This window comes from Homo sapiens, chromosome 15, assembly GCF_000001405.40.
Source record: "Homo sapiens chromosome 15, GRCh38.p14 Primary Assembly".
Taxonomy (NCBI): Eukaryota; Metazoa; Chordata; class Mammalia; order Primates; family Hominidae; genus Homo; species Homo sapiens.
The window spans coordinates 84599041-84624194 of record NC_000015.10 but is presented as its reverse complement, the minus strand read 5'-3'; the positions used below and the strand labels follow the sequence as shown (position 1 = coordinate 84624194).

At 47.8% G+C, this 25154-nt stretch overlaps 1 protein-coding gene and 1 long non-coding RNA gene across 10 annotated transcripts, besides 4 other annotated features; one reads left to right on the top strand and one right to left on the bottom strand.

Annotated features, from left to right (window-relative positions):
* Positions 479 to 23186, bottom strand: ZSCAN2 (zinc finger and SCAN domain containing 2). Of its 9 annotated transcripts, none has more exons than XM_024449978.2 (4): positions 23060 to 23186; positions 19862 to 20375; positions 19635 to 19727; positions 479 to 3593 (listed from the first exon to the last, which is right to left on the bottom strand). In XM_024449978.2, exons 2-4 carry the CDS (start codon positions 20265 to 20267, stop codon positions 2155 to 2157), a joined length of 1938 nt encoding a protein of 645 aa, XP_024305746.1. In that variant the 5' UTR covers positions 20268 to 20375; positions 23060 to 23186; the 3' UTR covers positions 479 to 2154. The 9 variants fall into 9 exon arrangements, with proteins under 9 accessions (XP_024305746.1, XP_047288737.1, XP_024305743.1 ...); XM_017022393.3 differs by lacking the exon at positions 479 to 3593 and adding an exon at positions 7584 to 7886; XM_047432782.1 differs by lacking the exon at positions 479 to 3593 and adding an exon at positions 17310 to 17666.
* LOC105370947 (uncharacterized) lies at positions 7783 to 24761 on the top strand. The gene is made up of 4 exons (NR_186225.1): positions 7783 to 7936; positions 17732 to 17833; positions 20210 to 20335; positions 24392 to 24761. It is a non-coding gene; the product is annotated as an uncharacterized LOC105370947 (long non-coding RNA).
* Positions 14179 to 14704: an enhancer, noted in NCBI's record as "H3K4me1 hESC enhancer chr15:85152722-85153247 (GRCh37/hg19 assembly coordinates)". NCBI's record gives its function as "activates a minimal SCP1, AML or CMV promoter by ChIP-STARR-seq in primed H9 embryonic stem cells {active_cell/tissue: H9 hESC(primed)}" and the evidence as "EXISTENCE:reporter gene assay evidence [ECO:0000049][PMID:30033119]".
* Positions 20143 to 20771: an enhancer, noted in NCBI's record as "OCT4-NANOG-H3K27ac-H3K4me1 hESC enhancer chr15:85146655-85147283 (GRCh37/hg19 assembly coordinates)". NCBI's record gives its function as "activates a minimal SCP1, AML or CMV promoter by ChIP-STARR-seq in naive and primed H9 embryonic stem cells {active_cell/tissue: H9 hESC(naive and primed)}" and the evidence as "EXISTENCE:reporter gene assay evidence [ECO:0000049][PMID:30033119]".
* Positions 22819 to 22968: a silencer, noted in NCBI's record as "silent region_6768". NCBI's record gives its function as "represses an Ori minimal core promoter by ATAC-STARR-seq in GM12878 lymphoblastoid cells {active_cell/tissue: GM12878}" and the evidence as "EXISTENCE:reporter gene assay evidence [ECO:0000049][PMID:35858748]".
* Positions 23289 to 23338: an enhancer, noted in NCBI's record as "active region_9982". NCBI's record gives its function as "activates an Ori minimal core promoter by ATAC-STARR-seq in GM12878 lymphoblastoid cells {active_cell/tissue: GM12878}" and the evidence as "EXISTENCE:reporter gene assay evidence [ECO:0000049][PMID:35858748]".

Here is a 25154-nt window from a genome sequence, read left to right as displayed (position 1 = left end):
ATTTTTTGTAGAGATGAGGTTTTGCCATGTTGCCCAGGGAGGTCTCGAACTCCTGAGCTCAGGCAAGCCACCCACCTCGGCCTCCCAAAGTGTTGGGATTGCAGGTGTGAGCCACTGTGCCAGCTCTTTTTACCATTTATTGTAGACTTTTTTTTTTTTGAGATGGAGTCTTGCTCTGTCACCCAGGCTGCAGTGCAGTGGTGCGATCTCGGCTCACTGCAAGCTCCGCCTCCTGGGTTCATGCCATTCTCCTGCCTGAGCCTCCCAAGTAGCTGGGACTACAGGTGCCCGCCACCACACCCGGCTAATTTTTTGTATTTTTAGTAGACGGGGTTTCACCGTGTTAGCCAGGATGGTCTCGATCTCCTGACCTCGTGATCCACCCGCCTCAGCCTCCCAAAGTGTTGGGATTACAGGTGTGAGCCACCACGCCCAGCCTAGTTCAGGTTTTTAACACAGTAAAAGACAGACTCAGGAAAAGAATGGAACTCTACTTTATTAAGGAATACTGAGCATCCATCCTATAAGAACTAAGCCCATTCTGAGCACAGGCCCCATGTGTAGGAGGAGGCAGTTTCCCATTTCCTGGAAATGCCTTATCTCCTCTTCCTTCACAGCAAACCCCTTCACCTGCCGTCATGCCCGTCTTCACTCTCCAGGTGCGAGGATCCCGAGAACAAAGCCCTGGTAGCATCCTGAGATCAAGGGCGACACCTGTAGGACAAACTCCTGATTCAAGCCCAAATATCTCCAGGGAACAGATATGTCCTCAAAGTTAACACTTCTTTAAAAATAATGTTCTTGGCCGGGTGCGCTGGCTCACGCCTGTAATCCCAGCACTTCGGGAGGCCAAGGCGGGCAGATCACGAGGACAGGAGATCGAAACCATCCTGGCTAACGCGGTGAAACCCCGTCTCTACTAAAAATACAAAAAAAGAAATTAGCTGGGTGTGGTGGTGGGCACCTGTAGTCCCAGCTACTCGGGAGGCTGAGGCAGGAGAATGGCGTGAACCCGGGAGGCGGAGCTTGCAGTGAGCTGAGATGGCACCACTGCACTCCAGCCTGGGTGACAGAGTGAGACTCCGTCTCAAAAATAATAATAATAATAATGTTCTTAGTATACAAAAGCTACCCGACAGGATTCTAGCTCGGCATATATCAAATAAAAAATAAAAGAAGAGGGAAACAAGTGCATAGAATAATTCAGAAATTATGGGGCTATGTACCTGTTGGGCCAAAGGCACAAACCCACCCTGCTGTGTGCAGGACTGTTTTACTCTTGATGAGACAGAAGTTACCATCCACCATGGGTTGGCAGCTAGGGCTCTCGGACTTCACTACACTCTCCAGGACAAAACCCCACGAGAACAAATGTGTTCCCCTGGTAGCTGATCTACCACAGGACAGTAGGCAGAGACAAAAGCAAGCACTGAAATGTCCTCGGTTTACCCCTTTCCTGAAGGCCCTGTCCAACTCTTACCAATGGAAAGGACACTGGGACACTGGCTCCAGGCTGTACTTCCTCAAGTTTCTGTGCTCCTGACACTTTCTGGAAATAGAAAGGGTCTTTACCTTCACGTGGGTGACTCAGAACTGGAGAAGCCCCTCCATCTTGACCTGAAATCAAAGCCCAAGACACCAAAGCCAGAAGAGCAGATTCTAACTGACAGCTTGGGGTGCCCTGGAACACTAACAGCTTGGGGTGAAGGCACCTTAGCCCAACAACGTGGCAGCAAAACAACAAAACAACCAGAACCACACCAATGATTTCCAGTATTTCTCTGAGGACTCGGCCCACGTTGTGGGCCATGCTGTCTTCCATTCCACATGGAGAAACATTTCCCCCCATTTTACCAAAGAGGAAACTGAGGCACAGAGGAATCATGAGAGGGGGCCAATCAAGTCACCCAATGTAAGGGAAAAAGACCCAACTTTCCAGACCTTCCACGCCTATGCCCTGTTCTTGAATGTATACGGGACTTGACTCAGACCACTAAAATGACAGTGTCCTGGAAATGAGGATGAGCAAGGGGAAGACTCTGGCAAAACCCCCCAGAATGTTTAGGAAGCACAGCTCTTTGAAAGGGAATCACTGTTGGGGCAGTGTGGCAACTCCCACTCCAGGCCAGTCCCTCACTTTCACTCTTTGCCACTTCAATAAAGTTTCTCTTTCATGTGAGTTCTCTGATGTGTGATAAAGTTAGAGCTGTTGCTGAAGCCTTTGCCACACTCGGGGCATTTGTAGGGCTTCTCCCCAGTGTGGATTCGCTGATGTATAATGAGGACTGAGTTCCAGCTAAAGCCTTTCCCACACTCAGGGCACCTGTAGGGCTTGTCTCCCAAATGGGCTCTCTGGTGCATGACCAGAATGGAGCCCCGGCTGAAGCTCTTGCCGCACATGAGGCATTTGTAGGGCTTCTCGCCCGTGTGGGTCCGCTGGTGCACTACGAGCTGGGAGCGCTGGCTGAAGCATTTCCCACACTCGCTGCATTTGTAGGGTTTCTCTCCCGTGTGGATCCTCTGGTGCTTGAGGAGGTTGGAGCTCCAGCTGAAGCTCTCCCCACATGTCAGGCACTCGTAGGGTTTCTCCCCTGTGTGCATGCCCTGGTGTGCAATCAGACTGGAGCTCTGGCTGAAGCTCTTCCCACACACCCCACACTTATAGGGCTTCTCCACCATGTGGGTTCTCCGGTGTGTGGCCAGGTTAGAGCTGCGGCTGAAGCTTTTCCCACACTCGCTGCACTGGTAGGGTTTCTCTCCTGTGTGGGTTCTCCGGTGGGTGATGAGGGCTGAACTCTGGCTGAACCTCTGCCCACAGTCGGTACATTTGTAGGGTTTCTCTCCTGTGTGGATTCTCTGGTGTCTGATTAGATTGGAGTTGTAACTAAAGCTTTCGCCGCATTCTTTACATTCGTAGGGCTTTTCTCCAGTGTGGATCCCCTGATGCGTGTTAAGGCTGGATCGGTTGCCAAAGCTCTTTCCACACTCGGGGCACGAGTAGGGTTTCTCTCCTGTGTGGGTGCGCTGATGTGCAATGAGGTTGGGACTCCTGCTGAAGCTCTTGCCACACTCGGCACACTGGAAGGGCTTTTCCCCCGTGTGGATCCTCTGGTGGGTTATGAGGTTGGCACTCCGGCTAAAGCTCTTCCCACAGTCTCTGCATTTGTAGGGCTTCTCCCCGGTGTGAGTGGTTTGGTGTCTACTAAAATTTGAACCATCACTAAAGCTTTTTCCACATTCATCACATTTGTAGTATTTCTCTCCTGTGTGGGTCCTCTCGTGTGTGATGAGGTGGGATTTCCGGCTGAAGGTCTTCCCACACTGGGGACATTCGTAGGGCTTCTCCCCTAGGTAGGTGCCCTGCAGGCCTATGAGCTGGCCAACTTCCCTGTCCTGAGAAACCACCTCCCCGTGGTCCTCACCTGGGCTGTGTCCCTGGAGCCTCTGGATGCCAGCATCTCTCTCAAAGTCACTTTCCCCATCGGAGTGCTGAGCACTTTCACCTTCAGGCATTTCCGAGAATATCTTACGTGATTCATTCTCAAACATGTCTTGATTACAGTTCTCCCCATTTTCACTCTGTATCTCAAAATCTGAAACAATGAAGAAAAACATACAATGTCTACTCAACTCCCTGTCATGATGACAAAAGAAAACGAAGGGGGAAATTTATAAAAATTAAACTTCCAGTGAACACAAAGAGGCTAGAAAATCCTCAAAGCCTTTAATAATCAGGTTTAATATACCCAAAGGAATATAAATCATTCTATTATAAAGATACATGCACACACATGTTCAATGCTGCACTATTCACAATAGCAAAGACATAGAATCAACCCAAATGCCCATCAATGATAGATTGGATGAAGAAAATGTAGTACATATACACCATGGTATACTATGCAGCCAAAAAAAAGAATGAGATCATATCTTTTGCAGGGACATGAATGGAATTGGAAGCCATTATCCTCAGCAAACTAACATAGGAACAGAAAACCAAACACTGCATCTTTTCTCTTATAAGCAGGAGCTGAATGAAGAGAACACATGAGCACATGGAGGGAAATAACACACCCTGGGGCCTGTGGGGGAGGGGGAGGGAGAGCATCAGGAAGAATAGCTAATGGATGCTGGGCTTAATACCTAGGTGGTGGGATGACCTGTGCAGTAAACCACCATGGCACGCATTTACCTTTGTAGCAAACCTGCACATCCTGCACATGTACCCCTGAACCTAAAAGCTGATGGAAAAAAAAAAAAAAAAAAACCAACCCAGGCTTATTTCATTCTGACTGGTTGTCAGGCCTCATAATCTTTGTGGCAATCACCCAGAATTTCAAAGCCTTAAAGATTTGGGTTCCATGTCCCCACTACCTGTGTCTTCATCTGAAAATGAGGTCAGGTGGGAATTTTAAAGGACATAAACAGGGTACCTACCCAATTACCCCCACACTCACCATAATGCCTGGTGCTTGATTCAATGTAATGAGTGCATGAATGAGTTTTTTTATTGGTACCATAGACATTTCCCTAAAGCTCAGTCTCCTTTCAAAAGGAGCTTATATAATAATTTCTTGTATTGACATGTATCTGGTGTTTATGACCGCATTACTTTGTATTTAGACACAGGAAAGATGACAGAGCCCGTGCAATAAGGACCCTAGGTGTGTATACCAATGACTAGAAGCAAGTTAACTGGATTGTTAAAAGAGCCCTCAAATTTGTCTGCAGTGGGAGCTTATGAATAGATTTTTTTTTTTTTTTTGAGACGGAGTCTCGCTGTGTGGCCCAGGCTGGAGTGCAATGGCGCGATCTCGGCTCACTGCAAGCTCCGCCTCCCCAGTTCACGCCATTCTCTTGCCTCAGCCTCCCGAGTAGCTGGGACTACAGGCGCCCACCACCACACCCGGCTAATTTTTTGTATTTTTAGAGAGACGGGGTTTCACCATGTTAGCCAGGATGGTCTCGATCTCCTGACCTTGTGATCCGCCCGCCTCGGCCTCCCAAAGTGCTGGGATTACAGGCGTGAGCCACCGCGCCCAGCCATGAATAGATCTTTAATTGGTAATATGTCTTCCAGGAACTTGTTAAACCTTCCAGTGCCCAAATATTTGAGTAAAAGAAATCATTAGGGAGGACTGCTAGAAGAACATAGCCCCTTCCTTAGATGAGGGACTGTAAAATCTACCCGAGGATGAGGCCAAAGCAGCAGAGAGCTGAGCCTGGATCACACTGTTCTGACCCCCGGCAGAACTGTGTTTACTGAATAGTGTGTTGGCTTCATAGCCCTGGCTGACACTCTAAGAAGTGTCATTAGAAATTAATGACTGACACCGGGCATGGTGGCTCACGCCTGTAATCCTAGCACTTTGGGAGGCCAAGGTGGGTAGATTATCTGAGATCAGGAGTTTGAGACCAGCCTGACCAACATGGTGAAACCCCGTCTCTAATAAAAATACAAAAAAATTAGCTGGGCATGGTGGTAGGCACCTGTAATCCCAGCTACTTGGGAGGCTGAGGCAGGAGAATCACTAGAACCCAGGAGGTGGACGCTTTGGTGAGCCAAGATCACGCCACTGCACTCCGGCCTGGGCAACAGAGCCAAGACTCTGTCTCGAAAAAAAAAAAAAAAATTAATGGCTGTTGGGAACATTAATGCTGCCAGGAAGTTGTTGATGACATTGTTTATACCACACAATGTCCTCTTGATGAGCCTGAGGAGGAAATTTCCCTCTTGACCTCAATCCTAAAAAAAGCTGCACTTTTTTCTATTTTTTAAGACAGAGTCTCACTTGGTCACCCAGCCTGGACTGCAGTGGCGAGATCTAGGCTCACTGCAACCTCAGCCTCCCGAGTTCAAGAGATTCTCCTGCCTCAGCCTCCAGAGTAGCTGGGACTACAGGCGCACACCACCACGCCCAGCTAATTTTTGTATTTTTAGTAGAGATGGGGTTTCACTATGTTGGCCAGGCTGGTCTCAAACTCCTGACCTCAGGTGATCCGCCCGCCTGGGCCTCTTATAGTGCTGGGATTACAGGTGTGAGCTATCGCGCTCGAACTCCTAGTGACATTTCTATTATTAAAGCTAAAAAACTTTATTTAAGGTTAGATGCTCAATTAATTTTCTGTAAGTTAATATAAACTCTTACATATGAACATGATAAAATTGGACATGCCCCTCTCAGGCAGGACCTGGGCTCCACTCTTGCCTTCAGTCAATTTAAGATCACATTTATTTTTATTTTTTATTTTTTTGAGACAAGGTCTTAGTCTGTCACCGAGGCGGTAGTACAGTAGCGAGATCGCAGCTCACTGTAGCCTCAACTTCCTGGGCTCAGGTGACGCTCCCACCTTAGCCTTGCAGGTAGCTGGGATTACACAGGTGTATGCCACCACACCCAGCTAATTTTTTTGTATTTTTGTAGAGATGGGGTTTTGCTATGTTGCCCAGGCTAGTCTCAAAGTCCTGGGCTTGAGTGATCCTCCTGCCTTGGCCTCCCAAAGTGCTGGGATGATAGGCATAAGCCACCATGCCTGGCCATAAGATCACCTTTAAAGTTGAAAACAGGCATATAATTAAACTCCATGCTTACACTGACACATGCTGCTGGTAATCTGTGGGTTCACAGAATTGCCCTCCAGCCCCACCCCTCATATCACTAGGGGACAGATACAGGCACAAGGGGCACAAGGTATACTCTGACTCGGCAGAACCAGGAATTCTGTGTTTCCTCAACTTCCTGCAAGACAGTCTTTTTTTTTTTGGAGTCTCACTCTGTCACCCAGGCTGGAGTGCAGTGGCGCGATCCTGGCTCAGGGCAAGCTCCGCCTCCCAGGTTCAAGCAATTCTCCTGCCTCAGCCTCCTGAGTAGCTGGTACTACAGGCGCACGCCAACACGCCTGGCTAATTTTTGTATTTTTAGTAGAGATAGGGTTTCACCACGTTGGCCAGGCTGGTCTCAAACTCCTGACCTCAAGTGAGCCGCCCGCCTTGGCCTCCCAAAGTGCTGGGATTAGAGGCGTGAGCCACTGCGCCTGGCCATGGAAGACAGTTTTTTTTTTTTTCTTTTTTGAGACAGAGTTTCGCTCTTGTTGCCCAGGCTGGAGTGCAGTGGCGCGATCCTGGCTCCCCGCAACCTCTGTTCCCCGGGTTCAAGCAATTCTCCTGCTTCAGCCTCCCAATTAACTGGGATTACAGGCATGTGCCACCATGGCTGGCTAATTTTGTATTTTTAGTAGAGACAGGGTTTCTCCATGTTGGTCAGGCAGGTCTCGAACTTCCAACCTCAGGTGATTTGCCCACTTCCGCCTCCTAGAGTGCTGGGATTATAGGCGTGAGCTGCCATGTCTGGCCGGAAGACAGTTTTTTGGCAAGTTTTGAGCACAGAGCCCTGCCAGCATCTCTCTTCTAGAAGAACCTGCAGGCCAAGACCCTGATTAATTTTTAGCAAACTAACATGACCAAAAACATTTTTTTGGGTGATTTTAGTAATTGAATAGGTAACATTAGCTAATAAGGCTGTTTTTGCTGTTTTAAAATCAGAACTGGTTAGCTCTCCAATGAGCTCGGAAGCAACAAGGAAAACAAGTAAAATCCAATTTTATTTTCAGTGAGATCAGAAGATAAAATATGTAGGCACCAAAATACATGTCAGGGCTTCCCAAAACAGCAGACTGGGTAAAAGCAATGAGGAAGGAAATGCAATGAATAAGCATGGAGAGCCCTGGGGTGGGAGGGAACAGAACTCAGAAAGCTCAGGCAGAAAATCACTTCCTGTGTTTGGGAACTGGGGTAAGCAGGGCTGGCTTCTTTGGTTCAGAGAGGCAAAGGAGGTGAGGCTGCAACTGGAATCACACAGGGCAGCCATGTACGCAGGAAGCTGTTTCTGGAAAGCAGAGAAGGAAAGAGCCTTTGACCCACGCACATTAATCCAAGGTATTTATTTATTTATTTTTTTGAGATGAAGTCTCACTCTGTCACCCAGGCTGGAGTGCAGTGGCACTATCTTGGCTCACTGCAACCTCTGCGTCCCAGGTTCAAGCGATTCTCCTGCCTCAGCCTCCTGACAAGCTGGAATTACAGGTGCACACCACCACCCCCGGCTCATTGTTTTTGTATTTTTAATAGAGATGGGGTGTCGCCATGTTGGCCAGGCTGGTCTCGAACTCCTGACCTCAAATGATCCAACTGCCTCGGCCTCCCAAAGTGTTGGGATTATAGGCTGGAGCCCGGCCCAAGGAATTACTATTACTGAGAAAAGTGATCATTTCCATCCATAAAAATAATTAAATGAGGCAACTGCCTTTATAAAGGAATACCACAGAGAAGAGCTTGAAGAAGGGATGGTGAGACAACAGGAAGAGATTAAATGTACACTAGAAGAACTCAGGAAAGGAGGGAAAATCAGCCAGAGAAATGAAGACAACAGGAAAAGGAGCGCAATGGGAATAGGCATCTTGGAAAGCACCATTCCAAGAATGGGAAAAAGAGGACCAAAATAAGAAAGCAATGACAGGAAATGGAAACAAAGGAATAGGTTAAAAGGATTAAAAAGAATGACAGAGGGCCAGGCGCGTTGGCTCAGGTCTGTAATCCCAGCACTTTGGGAGGCCAAGACAGGTGGATTGCTTGAGCCCAGCAGTTTGGGACAACTTAGGAAACATGGCAACACCCCATCTCTACAAAAAATACAAAAATTAGCCAGGTGTGGCTGTACACACTTGTAGACCCAGCTACTTAAGAGGCCAAGGCAGGACGATTGCTTGAGGCCAGGAGGCAGAGGCTGCAGTGAGCCATATTTGCACCACTGGACTCCAGCCCGGGTGACAGAGTGAGACCCTATCTTAAACAAAAAGATAGAAACAGAAGTTAGGCAAAAGGAGAATCAGTAAACATAACTGGAGTTCTCAAAAAAACAAAGCAATAGAACTAGTACTTAAAGGCCAGGCGTGGTGGCTCACGCCTGTAATCCCAGGACTTTGGGGGGCTGAGGCAGGCGGATCACAAGGTCAGCAGTTCACGATCAGCCTGGCCAATATGGTGAAACCCCGTCTCTACTAAAAAAATACAAAAATTGGCTGGGTGTGGTGACAGATGCCTGTAGTCCCAGCTACCCAGGAGGCTGAGGCAGGAGAATCGCTTGAACCCGGGAGGCGGAGGTTACAGTGAGCTGAGATCACACCACTGCACTCCAGCCTGGGCGACACAGTGAGACTCCGTCTCAAAAAAAAAAAGAACTAATACTTAAAGATAAAACCTGTAAGGATATAAGAACATGTGAAAGTTACACCATGGGCCAACAAAAACTAACCCAGGGTGGCTAACAGTAAGACCAGTGGACAACAGCAAAAGGATCAAATCACTTACAAGGGGAAAGAAAATCAACTGGTTTCAGATTTCTCTATATTCAGGCTGGGTGTGGTGGCACGTGACTGTAATCCCAACTACTCCGGAGGCTGAGGCAGGAGAACTGCTTGAACCCAGGAGGTGGAGGTCGTGGTGAGCTGAGATCGCGCCACTGCACTCCAGCCTGGGCGACTCTATCTCAGGAAAAAAAAAAGATTTCTCTATATTCGACAAAACTGTCCTTCAAGTATAAACCTATAGGCAAACAGCTTTGAACATACACAAATTAATGGACTGCTAGAGGGGTGAACACCTAATAAATTTAACTTTAGAATGAAGACTAAAACTACCATGGCAACTGGGGTGATTAAAGAGCTTGTGAATGTTATGCGGCAGTGTAGAAATGACATTCTAACCAAAACTGGGGTTGGGAGAAATAAGGTGGTTTATAGGATATGTTCGTTGATTGCCTCATCTGTAATAACCTGGGAGTTCAAAGAATTCACATTTAAAACTGGTAAAGCATGCAGCTAAGTAGAGGTTTGCAAAAATAAACACTAAAAAAGATAAGATTATTGCTTGCAATCCCAGCACTTTGGATGGCTGAGGTGAGAGGACTGCATGAGGCCAGGAGTTCAAGACCAGCCTGAGCAACACAGCCAAGACCTCATCTCTACAAAAAAAAACAGAATTAGCCGGGTGTGTTGGCACTTGCCTGTAGTCCCAGCTACTCAGGAACCTGAGGTGGGAGGATTGCTTGAGGCCAGGAGTTTGAGATTATAGTAAACTATGATCATGCTACTGCATTCCAGCCTGGGTGACAGAGTGAGACTCTGTCTCTGAAAAAAAAAAAAAAAAAAAAAAAAAGAGGCCAAGAGCAGTGGCTCACACCTGTAATCTCAGCACTTTGGGAGGCAGAGGTGGGCGGATCGCAAGCTCAGGAGTTCAAGACCAGCCTGGCCAACATGGTGAAACCCCATCTCTACTAAAAATACAAAAATGAGCTGGGCATGGTGGTACATGCCTGTAATCCCAGCTAGTTGGGAGGCTAAGGCAGGAGAATCGTTGAATCGTTGAACCCAGGAGGTGGAGGTTGCAGTGAGCAGAGATCGTGCCACTGCACTCCAGCCTGGGTGACAGACTGAGATTCTATCTCAAAAAAAAAAAAAAGAAAGATTACTGACTAAAATTGGAGGGGAGAGGGACTATCTCTGTCAGATGTTAAAACATTATGAAATCTCGGCCGGGTGCAGTGGCTCACGCCTGTAATCCCAAAACTTTGGGAGGCCGAGGCGAGTGAATCACCTGAGGTCAGGAGTTCTAGACTACCCTGGCCAACATGGTGAAACCCCATACAAAAATTAGCTGGGTGTGGTGGCGGGCGCCTGTAATCCCACCTACTTGGGAGGCTGAGGCAGGAGAATTGCTTGAACCCAGGAGGCAGAGGTTGCAGTGTACCGAGATTGTGCCACTGCATTCCAGCCTGGGCAACAGAGCGAGACTCCGTCTCAAAAACAAAAACAAAAACATTATGAAATCTCAATAATTAAAACATTAATAGACAATCAGACCAAATAAACAAAATAAAAACTCCAGAAATAGATTCAATAGATATGTAAGTTCAGAATTTAATACAAGTGGAACAGAAATAGACAGGCCAAGAGAAGAGAAAAGATAATCTGTATAATGACTATGAAAATTTAGCATACAATACGGTTGGCCTCTTAAATCCATGGAGAAGAGACACAACATACAATAAATGATGCTGGAAGAACTAGTTACGGAAAACTGGAAAAATTCAATTCAAATGGAAAAATTCAAGCTGGACCCAGAAACGGACAAATCCCAAATGGATCTAAGATTTAAATGTTAAAACAAAAAACCCAAATAGCAGCATCAAACTATTAGATGAACATATGAAAGAATTTCTTTAAAATCTGGCAGCCTTTAAGTGCGATACTTAATTTATGGGGCTATCTTCTTTTAAATGTCAAGTCTTTGAACTCCCAGGTATTACATACAAGACAATCAAAGAACATATCCTATAAAACCACCTTATTCCTCCCAACCCCAATTTTGGTTACAATGTCATTTCCCCCTTTTTTTTTTCTTTTGAGACGCAGTCTCACTCTGTCTTCCAGGCCGGAGTACAGTGGCATGATCTCGGCTCACTGCAAGCTCCGCCTACCGGGTTCACGCCATTCTCCTGCCTCAGCCTCCCGAGTAGCTGGGACTACAGGCGCCGGACACCACGTCCGGCTAATTTTTTTGTATTTTTAGTAGAGACAGGGTTTCACCGTGTTAGCCAGGATAGTCTCGATCTCCTGACCTCGTGATCCACCTGCCTCGGCCTCCCAAAGTGCTCGGATTACAGGCATGAGCTACCGCTCCTGGCCTTTAGAAGGTCATTTCTACATTGCTGTATAACATAAATATCATAAACCTCACTAAGGAGGTCCCTCTGAGTAGAATCCAGGCCCAATAACCCCTTCACTGTACTGCTCAAAGACCAGTCCTATCTTTACAAACACCGCTGCTATCCAGCGAAGACCAAAGGAAGGTTGGCAGTTCTTCACAAGTTGCCCTCTAAGACCAGAGAGACACAGGAGTCATTCTACAGGACAGAAAAGAGTGGCCCTTCAGGTGATCTGACTGACAAGGGCCTCCAAAATGGGAAAAAGTCACTGAGCTGGGAAGAATAAGGGATCCCTGGCCCCCTCCAGGCTCCCTGAGAAAGGCTGGCCCCTATGAGATCCAGAGCACACAGCAGAGCACGTTCAAGGGCAGGTGAGTCCCTCCTTTATTTATTGGTGGCCAATTAAGAAAATGAAAACTCAGAAACTGGTTTTGGTCAGATACAAAAATAATATTCTTACCACGTTGTGAATGGAGATGAGAGGAGATGGTGGCAGCTGGGAATTAAAAAAAAATTTTTTTACTGATAGCAATGGCTTTGGCTACTCCAGGATGCCAAGAGGAGCACATTCTGTGGATATGAGTAGATGTAGGGAGGCGGCTTCTAAGGAAGCAGGCTTATGAGTAAGAGGCTGGATGGCCCAGACATCCACTTTTTTGTTGTTCTTGCTTTTCTGTTTTGTTTTGTGTTTTTTGAGACAGTCTCGCTCTGTCGCCTAGGCTGGAGTGCAGTGGCGCGATCTTGGCAACCTCTGCCTCCCAGGTTCAAGCGAATCTCCTGCCTCAGCCTCCTGAGTAGCTGGGATTACAGGCGCCTGCCATCACTCCCAGCTAATTTTTTTATTTTTAGTAGAGATGAGGTTTCACCACGTTGGCCAGGTTGGTCTCAAACTCCTGACCTCAGGTGATCCACCCACCTCAGCCTCCCAAAGTGCTGGGATGACAGTGTGAGCCACCACGACTGGCCTGTTGTTGTTTTTTGAGACAGTATATCACTGTCTCCCAGGCTGGAGTGCAGTGGTGGGATCTTGGCTCACTTAAGTCTTGACCTCCCAGGCTCAAGTGATCCTCCCACCTCAGCCCCCAAGTAGTTGGGACTATAGGTGTGTGCCACCATGCCTGGCTAATTAAAAAGAAAAAAATTTTTTTTTTGGAGACGGAGTCTTGCTCTGTCACCCAGGCTGGAGTGCAGTGGCGTGATCTCTGTCTCCTGGGTTCAAGCAATTCTCCTAACTTAGCCTCCCCAGTAGCTGGGATTACAGGTGCACACCACCACATGCCCGGCTAATTTTTTTTGTATTTTTCGTAGAGATGGGGTTTCACCATGTTGGCCAGGCTGGTCTTGAACTCCTGACCTCGTGATCCACCCACCTTGGCCTCCCAAAGTGCTGGGATAACAGGCGTGAGCCACCACACCTGGCCAGAACATATTTTCATAATTTTTAGTTCTTCATTTCTAAATTGTTTATATCTTTTACCTTTTATTCTATTTGGTTGACTTTTCTTATGAATTTGCAGAGGCTCTTGTAGATCAAGGATTTTGACTCATGATCTGCTACATTAGACTTGGATGCAAATATTTCCTCCTAATGTGTATGCTGTCTTTTGATTCACAGTATCGTTTTTTATATGAAACACTTCTGTTTTGGCTGGGTGCAGTGGCTCACGCCTGTAATCCCTGCACCTTGGGAGGCAGAGGCGGGCGAATTGCCTGAGTTCAGGAGATTGAGACCAGCCTGACCAACATGGTGAAACCCCATCTCTTCTAAAAATACAAAAATTAGCCGGGAGTGGTGGTGGGTGCCTGTAGTCCCACCTACTCGGGAGGCTGAGGCAGGAGAATCACTTGAACCCTGGAGGTGGAGGTTGCAGTGCCGAGATGGCGCCACTGCACTCCAGCCTGGGCGACAGGGTGAGACTCCATCTCAAAAAAAAAAAAAAAAAAGAAAGAAAGAAAGAAAGAAAGACTTCTGTTTTGAGTCCAATCTAGCTTTGATGACTTCTGTATTGCTTATTCACACTTCATACTTGAATTGTGAGTGCCTAGAGGTTCCTGTCAAACAAACATGAAAGTCCTTCCCGCATGCTAAGATTACAAAAATATTCTCTCACATGTCATTTCAGATCCTGTCTATTACAGATCTGTAATCCATCTGGGACCTATTTTTGTGTAACTTGTAAAGCAGGGATCTATTTCTTTGTAAGCTGCAAAGTAGGTATCCAATTTTAGTTTTTTCAAAATGATTTGACCACTGTCCAAAAATCATTCACTGGAACAGTCCCTGAAGGGCCACAGGACCTCTCCCCTTATCTGTCAGTGGACAAAAGCTGCCACCGTAGCTCAATCTCAGCCAACGGTCCTTGTATTTCTCGCACTTGCCACGTGAGCTCTGGCCTCACGTGCACAGCACAAATTCCCGTGGCCGTTCACAGGGCCCTGCGTGTCCTCGCCTGGCCACAGGCCTCCTCTTTCTCTCCCGCACCATAGAGCATACCAGAATGAACATGGGGAAGACTCATGTCAATAGGGGATAGACCTGACTTTGCTGTAACAATGAAATAAACTGGTCACAGTCTTTGGTGCTTTGGTGTGTGTTTGGCTCAAAATTCTTCTCCAGCCCCTTCCTGCCTGATTGTGTCCTACCCCTGTGTCTCAGCCACTGGTCTAAAATAGAGAAGTGGTTCTGATATAGGGTATGCCCAGCTCCATTCTCACTAGGGCTCTCCCCATTAGAGCGCTGCCCTGGCAAGCCCAGTGGGACTGGGAGCATTGTTCCCCCTGAACTCTGGCTGCTTGAAAGACTAACTGCTGATAAAAACAGCAATGGACTGTTATCAGGTGAAATACATGAATGCTAAACATTTCATAGGTATAACGTTACCGCTCCCTAAGAATTCTGTCCGGTATACTTTTCAAACATTTGAGTAAATTAAAGGTAATTTTTGGGCTGGGCACAGTGGCTCATTCCTGTTATCGCAGTGCTTTGGGTGGCTGAAACAGGAGGACCACTTGAGGCCAAGAGTTCGAGGTTATAGTGAGCTATGATCACACCAGTGCACTCCAGCCTGGGTTGACAGAGTGAGACTTTGTCTCTCTCTCATATATATATCATATGAGATATATCATATATCTCATATATCATATATGATATATATCATAGATATATATGTGTATATATATATATAAAAGTAATTTTGTTTTGAAGCTAAGAATTGTAGCTTTAAAAAGACATAAGCTGTAACACTCTCCACTCCCTTTCTGGCTGAGACAAATGAATGTATGTGTTCATTTGTGGTCATTAAGGGAGCATTTTGCTGGGGCAGCAAGCTCAAAACAAATCACCTGTTGCCTCTGATGGCTGAAAGCCAGATGATGCTGAGGATGGCTGGAGAGGTCAGCTGTGACTCTTTCACTCAACTGTTGGACAAGAGTAGGCTTGAAGTTGATAACCTCTATTCCTCTCCTGGGTAGTGCTTTTCAAACTTCAAAGAGCATAGGAATCACCTGGAGATCTTGTCAAATGCAAATTTGCTTCAGCGGGGCTTGGTGAGACTGACAGTCCTAGTCTAACAAACTCCCAGGTGAGCTGATGCTGCTGGCCCACTGACCACCCCCTGAAGAACAAAGCTCTATGGCAGTGCTCTTTACACTTTGCAGCATAATAGAACTACCTGGGCACTTTCAAAACTCCCTTGCCCAGGCCATACCCCATACCAATTAAATCAGAAAATTAGAATCCCTGGAGTAGGCTCCAGGCCCCCAGGTAATTCTAATGTGCGGCTGAGTTTGAGAACCAGAGGTCTACAGAGGTCTAGTGCAGAGGTTCTCAAATTGGAGTTTGAATCAGGATCACTTAGAATGCTGGGCATCGCCCTCAGTTTCTTTTTTTTTTTTTTTTTTTTGAGACAGAGTCTTGCTGTCACCCAGGCTGGAGTGCAATGGCGCAATCTCAGCTCACTACAACCTCCGCCTCCCAGGTTCAAGCGATTCTCCTGCCTCAGCCTCCCAAGTAGCTGGGATTACAGGCACATGCCACCATGCCTGGCTGATTTTTTTTGTATTTTTAGCAGAGACAGGGTTTCACTATGTTGGCCAGGCTGGTCTCGAACTCCTGGCCTCGAGTGATCCACCCGCCTCGGCCTCACCAAGTGCTGGGATTACAGCCGTGAGCCATTGCGCCCAGCCACCCTCAAAGTGTCTGATTCAGGAGTTCTAGGGTGGGGCTCCGAGGTTCATGATACTGAAGGGAGAGGGAAAGGAAGAGGGAGTAGGGTGGAAGAGAGGGAAGAGGGGGAATGAAAGAGAAAGGAAAAAGACAGGTTCCTTGTCTTCTAGGATTTTACAGGTTCCTAGAAGAAATAAGACAAGTATTCATATAAACAGAAAAGAAGGTGAACTATGATAAAAAGCCAAGAGAGAGAATCCAAATGTTCTGGGGGAGACGACTTCTAGCAGAGGTGATTAGAGGTGCTCCCAGGTGTGTGGAACTGGGGATGGGGAAAAGGGACAGGGTTTAAGAGCAGCTTTATGAAGAGGGTCTCCACGGGTGGGCACTCAAAGAACAACTGGGATTTTATCACAGAGATGGGACAAGGCTATTCCAAGCCAAAAATCCAGGAGCAAGGGCCAGGCGTGGTGGCTCACGCCTGTAATCCCAGCACTTTGGGAAGCCAAGGTGGGTGGATCACCTGAGGTCAGGAGTTCGAGACCAGTCTGACCAACGTGGTGAAACTCTGTCTCTACTAAAAATACAAAAATTAGCTGGGCACGGTAGCACGCACCTGTAATCCCAGCTACTTGGGAGGCTGAGGCAGGAGAATCACTTGAACCCAGGAGGTGGAGGTTGCAGTGAGCCCAGATGGCACCACTGCACTCCAGCCTGGGGAACGTAGAAAGACCGTCTCAAAAAAACAAAAACAAAAACAAAAGCACAGGCTGTGTTCAAGAAAGAGCAAGATCTGGTCTGAATGGAGTGGGGATAGAGCATGGGGGGTCAGGGGTGGGAAAAGACTGCAGGGGAGGTTTGGGCCAGGTCCCACAGAGCCACGGATTCCAAGCAGAACAAGGAGGTCATGCTTGATTTGGTAGATACTGGGAAGCTCATGAAGGTTTTTAAGCAGGAGTGCCCCATCACTCTGGTAGAAGTGGAAGAGCTGGGATGAAGGGGCAGAAGCTGAAGACAGGTTCAGTTTGGCAGCTGCTCCAAGAATTCAGGTGAGAAACTCCACGCATCTGGATTAGGGCTGGGTATGGAGAGTAAAATGTCCTCTGGAAACAGTCACAGAGAGACATAAGCTCTGCCACTTAATCTATTAATATAGGTCCGATCTTCATTAGAATTAGAAGGTACTTGAATTTTGAGTGCCCAGAGGTTCCTGTCAGAAAAACATTAAACCGCCACTGACTAACCAGGCCTGGAAATATCCTGTGCTGGGTGAATGTGTCCAAAGGTCATAAGCTGGACAAACAGAATAGAGGTCACGCGGCCTTATGTCGAGTAAATGTTTGAGAAGGGATGAAGACAAACGCAGGGACTCCTGTGAGCAATCATGAGGAAGGTCGGGGCGTTTATTAAACAAAGACCAACAAAGACAATCTCAGAGGCAGAAGTCAGGGACAGACAAACCCATGTGTCTGGGATGGTCCCCATTGGTTCCCATCTCAGGTGCCCAGTTAAAGATGAAAGGCACAAAGCCCCTGCTGCAAGGTGGATGGGAAGGGCTGTAATCACCTCTGACACCTGCTGAGACCTGAACCTCTGCTCTGTGCCTCCCCAACCAAATAACAACCTGAGGCCTCTCCTCAGCCCTCCATCACTCTCTCCTCCATAGTATCTGACTGGAGATCCAGAAGTTCATTACAAACTGGTCACCTCCACCGGAAGGGAAGCAACGACAGCTACAGCTGTAAAATAGGGAGACAGGTTTGCTTATTTTAATAGAAGGAATAAAATGCAGTTATTTTTTCAGGGCCAAAGAAAATCAAGCACTTTGCTTCAAGCAAAACTGAGATCTCCATGCAGAAAGAGACAGGTCTGGGTTTGAATCCTGGCTCCACCACTCAACAGCCATGTGAGTTTCCTGCACTTATATTTCCTATCTGTGAAATGACAATGCCAGCCACTCACAGGATTCTTAGTGAGACAAGCATGAAGGTGCCCAGGGCAGGGCTGGGTCACTGCAGACCTTCGGCGTCAGTCCCTTTCTCCAGAGGACAGCTCTACTCATTCACCCAGTCCCTGGAGTTTGTGATAGTCTCTGCCCCAAATCCCCTTCAGTTTCCTTCTCTTCTCTTCCCAGTCCTCTGAATCCTCCAGGCCAGATGCTCTGTAGTCACTGTCTTAATTCCATCTGCATCCCCAACTTCCAACACCCACTAGGAAGTGTCTCTTAGAATCATACATATGACAACGCTTAAAAACATGGGCTATGTCCTCACACACATAAGTTCAAATCTTGGTTCTGCCTGGTACAAAGGCACATGATCTTAAGGGATCTCTGGTGATGATAATCCTGCTTATCTTCCAGGGTGGTGAAGATTACATGAGTTTTCCATATTAGATGCTAAGCATATTTCCTGGCTTGCAGAAAGAGCTTGGAAAGTGCTAGCCATGGTGACTATCAGTTCTTTCTCACACGTGCCCCATCTGGGGCAGACCCCCATCACTGCACACCTGAAGACAAGGGAGCTTCCTGGCTGCTCTCCTGCCCCTAGCCTCTCACTACCCTAATCAAACCTACATCCTGTTGCCAAACTCCGCTTCCTTCCATGCCCCTTGGGGGTCTAGTTCAAGAACCCACTGAGGCAAAACATTCAGTCCAAGCCCTCACCCACCCTTCCCCCAAACTCTACTTCCTACCACTTCCTAAAAACACACTTGCCACTCCAATCTGCCAGCTCTCCTGTCACCCAAAGGTATAAACCACCGTGGCTCTGCCCTTCCAAGCCTCTGCTCAGCACAGCTCCTCTCAGCTGCCACACCCTACTCCCTTCTACAACCTCCTGCTTAGGTGTCACCTCCTCCAGGAAGCCTTCTCTGACCTGACCTTTCCTCTCCACGCTCCCTTCTCTGAACTTCCGTAGTTTTCATCAGCACAAAGGCAGCCATATCCTTCGAGCCCTGAGACAGCCCTCAAGGCACATCTGAAGTAAACATTTGGTCATCAAGTGAGTCTACTTTACAATGGAAAACCAGGAGGGAGACAGCGGTTAAACGGCAAGCCAGAATCCCAATACTTATTAGTAACACCGGAAAAAAATAGAGTAACTATTGCAAAGAGCTCAAGTTTGAAATTACGATTTTAAGAGCCCAGGATTACTTTATACCACAGAAAGTCCCTAGTTATTAGCTGGTTTACTTGTCATTTCTCTTGGTTTCATAAAAATAACCACTTTGGGGCCAGGCGTGGTGACTCACGCCTGTAATCCCAGCACTTTCGGGGGCTGAGGTGGGCGGATCACGAGGTTAGGAGCTTGAGACCAGTCTGGCGAACATGGTGAAGCCCCATCTCTACGAAAAATAAAAAAATTAGCCGGGCGTGGTGGCGCACGCCTGTAATTCCAGCTACTCAAAAGGCTGAGGCAGGAGAACTGCTTGAACCCAGAAGACGGAGGTTGCAGTGAGCCAAGATTGTGCCACTGCACCCCAGCCTGGGTGACAGAGCGAGACTCCGTTTCAAAAAAAAAAAAAAAAAGAAAAAAGAAAAAAAAGTCATGTTGAAAATATCAGATTGTTTTCTCTAATTGCAAGAACCATTTGGATGTTTCTTGCACAACCACGTGAAGGTGCCAGGGGTCTCCATCTCCTCCCGTTTAACTTCCATCACCTTCCCAACCACTCCAAATAAACACAGAAGTAAAAACTGTGCTTACAATTCAAATGTAGCTCTAAGGCCCTCCTAGCACTTCTGGAGCTGACTTTGCACACAGTGAGGACACTAAAAGGCTGATGAACACGCTGACTGCCTGCAGACAGAGCAGAGGGATGGCGCTAGCCCCCCACTCTGCCTTGGACACCACCTTCTCCTCCTCCGAAACACCACACTCCTCTACCTTGGAAGGGTGCTCCCGCCCTCTCCCTATGAGGTTCTGCGTCTCACCACTGTCCTGAAGGGTCTGGGTCAAGTCTTCCACCAGGGCCGCTGCCTCCTCACTGCTTTCAGGCCGATGCTCTTGCAGCCAAGCCTGAATTTCCTTTGGCAGCATGGTTAACATCTGCTCCTTGGTGTGTACCTCTGGTCTCAGCCAGCGCCGGCAGAGCTCTCGGAGGCGGCCGAGTGCACCCTGTGGTCCCCTGGTCACCTCCTCCTGGGGGCCGCCCTTGCCAGCACTCTGGGGAAAGGGCTCAGACTCAGGGCCATCCTCCTGCAGCACAGCTTCTTGCACCCAGGAGTCATCCTCCAGGATCATGGTGGTGACCTCCTCCTCCTGTCTATCTTCCTCTTGAGGCACCTGGACCAAGGAGCTCAGCGGAGTGGTCACTCTCGGGATGTCTGCAGCCATCATCCACAGTCCTGGGGCAATCACTTAGGCTTCAAGCCTTGGACCTCAGTCTTCTCCAGCCAGGCTCTCAGGTAAGACACTTCCCTCCTCAAATATCAACAAGTAGTCCCGCTGAGAAACAAAAAAGAGAACCATAATCCATAGGTAGACTGTCCTAAAGCAATCTAACTCACAAAAGCCCAGGTCAGACCACCAAGTGGCCCTTACATATGCAAACCAACAGACGTTTCCTGTTCTTCTTAAAGAAAAAATGGCTTATTCCTGAAAACATCTCTCTGTGGTAAAAGAAGGCTGGGTGCAGTGTCTCATGCCTGTAATCCCAGCACTTTGGGAGGCCGAGGTGGGCGGATCACCTGAGGTATGGTGAAACCCCATTTCTATTAAAAATACAAAAATTAGCCGGGCGTGGTGGCGGGGGCCTGTAGTTCCTGCTACTTGGGAGGCTGAGGCAGGAGAATCTCTTGAACCCAGGAGGCGGAGGTTGCAGTGAGCACAGATCTCGCCACTGCACTCCAGCCCAGGCAACAGAGTGAGACTCCGTCTCAAAAAAAAAAAAAAAAAAGTATCCCAAGCACAAAAAATACAGCATTGTTCCTTCCAAAACACCAAAGAATGAGTATCAGAAATGCAAAGTCCCCGGGAAAAACCCATGACTGAAATACTGAGGACTCTCCTAAGTCAGTTTCGACTTGCACTGTGTGACCTTGACCTAACATACAACTTAGTCACCAAACTCGGTGACCACCTAATAAAGATAATAACACTCATGTTTCTGTTTTTATGGGGGCATCTTAAGGATCAGCAATGGATCAGATGTCAAAGCACTCTGAGCTTCTTTGGAAGAAAGGCAATATCTCAACTGCATTATTACCATACTTTAAGTATGAAGTTTAAAACATGCATATACTCTCCAATCCAGCCTCGGCCCCTCAGTACTTTATCTTAAAAAAATAACCAAAAAATCGAGTCCTTAAAAATCCAGCAGCAGGGAATGGCTAATAAACTATGACACACCCATATAGCAGCATGTATTAGAAACTGTGCTATAGGCTTGGCGTGGTTGCCTGTAATCCCAGCACTTTGGGAGGCCTCGGCAGGCGGATCACTTGAGGTCAGGAGTTCGAGACCAGCCTGGCCAATATAGTGAAACCCCGTCTCTACCAAAAATACAAAAATTAGCCAGGCATGGTGACGGGCGCCTGTAATCCCAGCTACTCAGGAGGCTGAGGCAGGAGAATTGCCCGAACCTGGGAGGAGGAGGTTGCAGTGAGCCGAGATCGTGCCACTGCACTCCAGTCTGGGCGAAAGAGCCAGACTCTGTCTCAAAAAAAAAAAAAAAAAAAGAAAAGAAAAGGAAAAAAAAGAAAAGAAACTGTGCTATAATAATGGCTACCTTTAGGTGGTAATGACAGGAAAGGGGCTCAAAGGAGCCTTCTGGGATGATGGAAATTTTCAATATCTTCATTTGGCAATGGCGGCACAAGAGCAAACATATGAAATTTAAGATCTGCACATTACGCTGTATGTTTTTAATATTTTAAAAATTATATTGACAAAGATTAATCATTAATGATTTAAGATAATCCTTCTGATAGGAAAATAATGGATAAACACAAAATCAGCAGGGCAGAAAAACCATAGACACAGTAAGTCCTCAATTCCCTTTAAAAATGAACTCACAGCCGGGCGCGGTGGCTCAGACCTGTAATCCTAGCACTTTGGCAGGTTGAGGCGGGCGGATCACCTGAGGTCGGAAGATCGAGACCAGCCTGACCAACACGGAGAAACCTCGTCTCTACTAAAAACAAAATTAGCCAGGCGTGGTGGCGCATGCCCGTAATCCCAGCTACTCCGGAGGCTGAGGCAGGAGAATCGCTTGAACCCGGGAGGCAGAGGATGCGGTGAGCGGAGATCAGGCCATTGCACTCCAGCCTGGGCAACAAAAGCAAAACTCCGTCTCAAAAAAAAAAAAAAAAAAAAATGAACTCACAGGAAAAAAGAACGGGACGGCACCTACAAAATATTGAAAGCAGTGGAATTGCAAACGACTTAAAATATTATAAAAGCAATACAAAATTATTTTTAGCCCAAGCGCTGTAGCTCACGCCTGTAATTCCAGCACTTTGGGAGGCCGAGGAGGGAAGATGGCTTGAGGCCGGGAGTTCATGACCAACCTGGGCAACAGAGTGAGACCCAGTCTCTACAAAAATAAAAAAATTTTTTAAAAAATCATTACTACATCATAAAGACTCAACTAACAACCCTCCCTCAATGAAAAGGGGAGAAAAGCTGACAAAAGCTTAAAAAAAAAAGGACAAAAAATAAAAGCTAGTGGGAAAACCGAAGCTCTCAACGTGTATTTACTCAAATGACTAGAAGAAATACTGGCATATGGTGTAAGAGAACTCTTCCTACTTGGGAGCCTGGGAAAAGTGTGCCAGGTCAGCTAATTTGCGGTCTGACTTGGGGCACGACACGCCCCCTCTGAACCTCAGTTTCCCCATCTGTAAAACGTGTACGCTGCGCGGGATGTCGTCGAATGCCCCTTCCCGTCCAAAGCCTGCGCTTCTCGGTAGGAGAGGCAAGGAGCTCTCCGCCAGGGAGACGCGTCCGGGACGGTTCGCTGAGCGGAGCCGGCGCGTAAATCGGGGCTGCAGGGCCCGCAGGATACGGAGCGCGACCCCGACGCCCCTCCCCCAGCAGAGCTGCCGGCAGCTGGCTCCAGGCCCACTATTCCCTCACCTCGGGCTACTGCCCGGGGTCCGCGTGGCTCCAGGCCTGCCTCTCCGGCTCACCTCTCGGGAGACCAGGTCCTGCTCTAGCGGTTGCTTCGCGTGCGAAAGCGCCCCCGGGCTCGGCCCGGCCCCTCCAGATTCACCCCGGCTCAAGCCCGTGGGGCACCGAGAACAATGGACGGGAGAGGCCCGCCCACCGCCGCGCTCATTGGCTGCCGAGAACGGCCCTGGAAATTCTGCCTTTCTGTTGGTGGAGACGGCACCCAGCCGGGCGGCAGGAGGGAGGCTGGGCCCAAGGCATTGTGGGAGATGTAGTCCGCCCGGAGACGAACCTGACCGCGGTCCCCGGAGTAGGGTTTGGGGCTGACAGCCTGGGCAGTGCCTGCGGACCAGAGGCAGGAAAATCCGCAGACTGACCGTCAGAAACCCTGTGTTGGCTAGAGCTGTAACCCGAGACAAGCCGTTTCACTTATCTAAGGCCTCTGTATATTTGTCTATAAAAAGTGAAAGTTGGATGGCCGGACTTGAAGGACCTTTTCGGCTGCGAACCTTGTGGCAAGGAGTATTGTTAGGCACCCTCGACCGGCGAGAGCGGACCCTGGGCAGGAAGGGAATCCATGGGGGAACAAATCCTCATCGCCCAAGCCTGGCGCCTTTCCCCCAGTTTGCAGCTGTACACATGCACCCGGTCTTCGCACACCCCTTTGTTTTCGCACGTGGTATTCCTGTGTTTGGAGGAACGCCCTGCCCCGCCTCCTCTGCCGCGGAACTCCCATTCTTCCAGCTTCTCCTGGGTGGAGCCTGCCCTGTCATCACCACCTCCCCAGGCAGAGACACCGCCCCTAGTACACGTGTTGGACGTCCCCATTTTATTTTTTAAATATATATATGTATGTATTTGTATATATATATATATATTTATTTATACACACACACTCACAGACAGGATCTACATTTCATAGAGACAGGGTTTCCATATGTTGCCCAGGCTGACCTCGAACCCCTGGGCTCAAGCGATCCTTCCTCCTCAGCCTCCCAAAGTGCTGGAATTACAGGTGTGAGCCACCGCACCTGGCTGACGTCTCCATTTTAGTACTGATCACCGGGTTGCTTACTTGTCAATCTCAGTATGGGGGAAGGGAGGGTGCCCGGGTGTGGGAGGTTGGCCTCCATCTTTGTGTTTTACGGCTGGCGCTGTTGAAGAAACGGCTGCCCCAACCCTGCTTGAAAACAGGTGAGAAACTACCTGGAAACTCAAGCGGAAAATCTAAAAATGGAGAGAGACACCCTTAATGGTCTGTGATAGAATAGTTATGTATGTTTGCACTGAGCAATTACTGGAGGCACCTGCAATGAAATGACTGCTTTTTTTTTTCCTCCTCTGTCGCCCAGGCTGGAGTGCAGTGACACGATCTCGGATCAAGTGATTCTCCTGCCTCAGCCTCCCAAGTAGCTGGGATTACCGGCGTGCGCCACCACACCTGGCTAATTTTGCGTGTTTTTAGTAGAGACAGAGATTTCACCATGTTGATCAGGCTGGTCTTGAATTCCTGACCTCAGGTGATCCAGCCGTCTTGGCCTCCCAAAGTGCTGAGATTACAGGCATGAGCCACGTGCCCGGTCCTTTTCCCATTTTTAAATTGGATTTATTTGTAAGAGCTCTTTGTATATTAAGAAAATTATCCCTTTGTCACAGCAGTTGCTACTCTTTCTCAGTTTGCTGTTTGTTTTCTGCTGGTTTATTAAATATAGAAATTTGAAATTTTTTTGCAGTCAAATTTGTTAATCTTATCTTTTTATAGCCTGTGAGTTTTGTGTTAGAAAGTCCTCTGCACCACTCCAAAGATTATGTGAAATTCACCTGTTTTTCACTAATTAACCTCTTGAATCCAATTACAGAGATGCAAAGTGAAGTTCAGCTAGTGATTCTTATCCAATACCCTGGTAGCATCTTTATTATCCCAGACTGACCACATGCAAATAGCACCACCTCCAGGCCAGCCTGAGAAGTCTGCACTAAGCCCCTGGATGCAGAATTCTGGGCCACCACCCCTCCAAGTGATTTTTTTTGGGATGACATTGTATTAAAAAAGATGGGTTTCTCCATGTGTCCATCCTTACCAGGAATGGAAATTTACACAAAAAGGAAAAGATG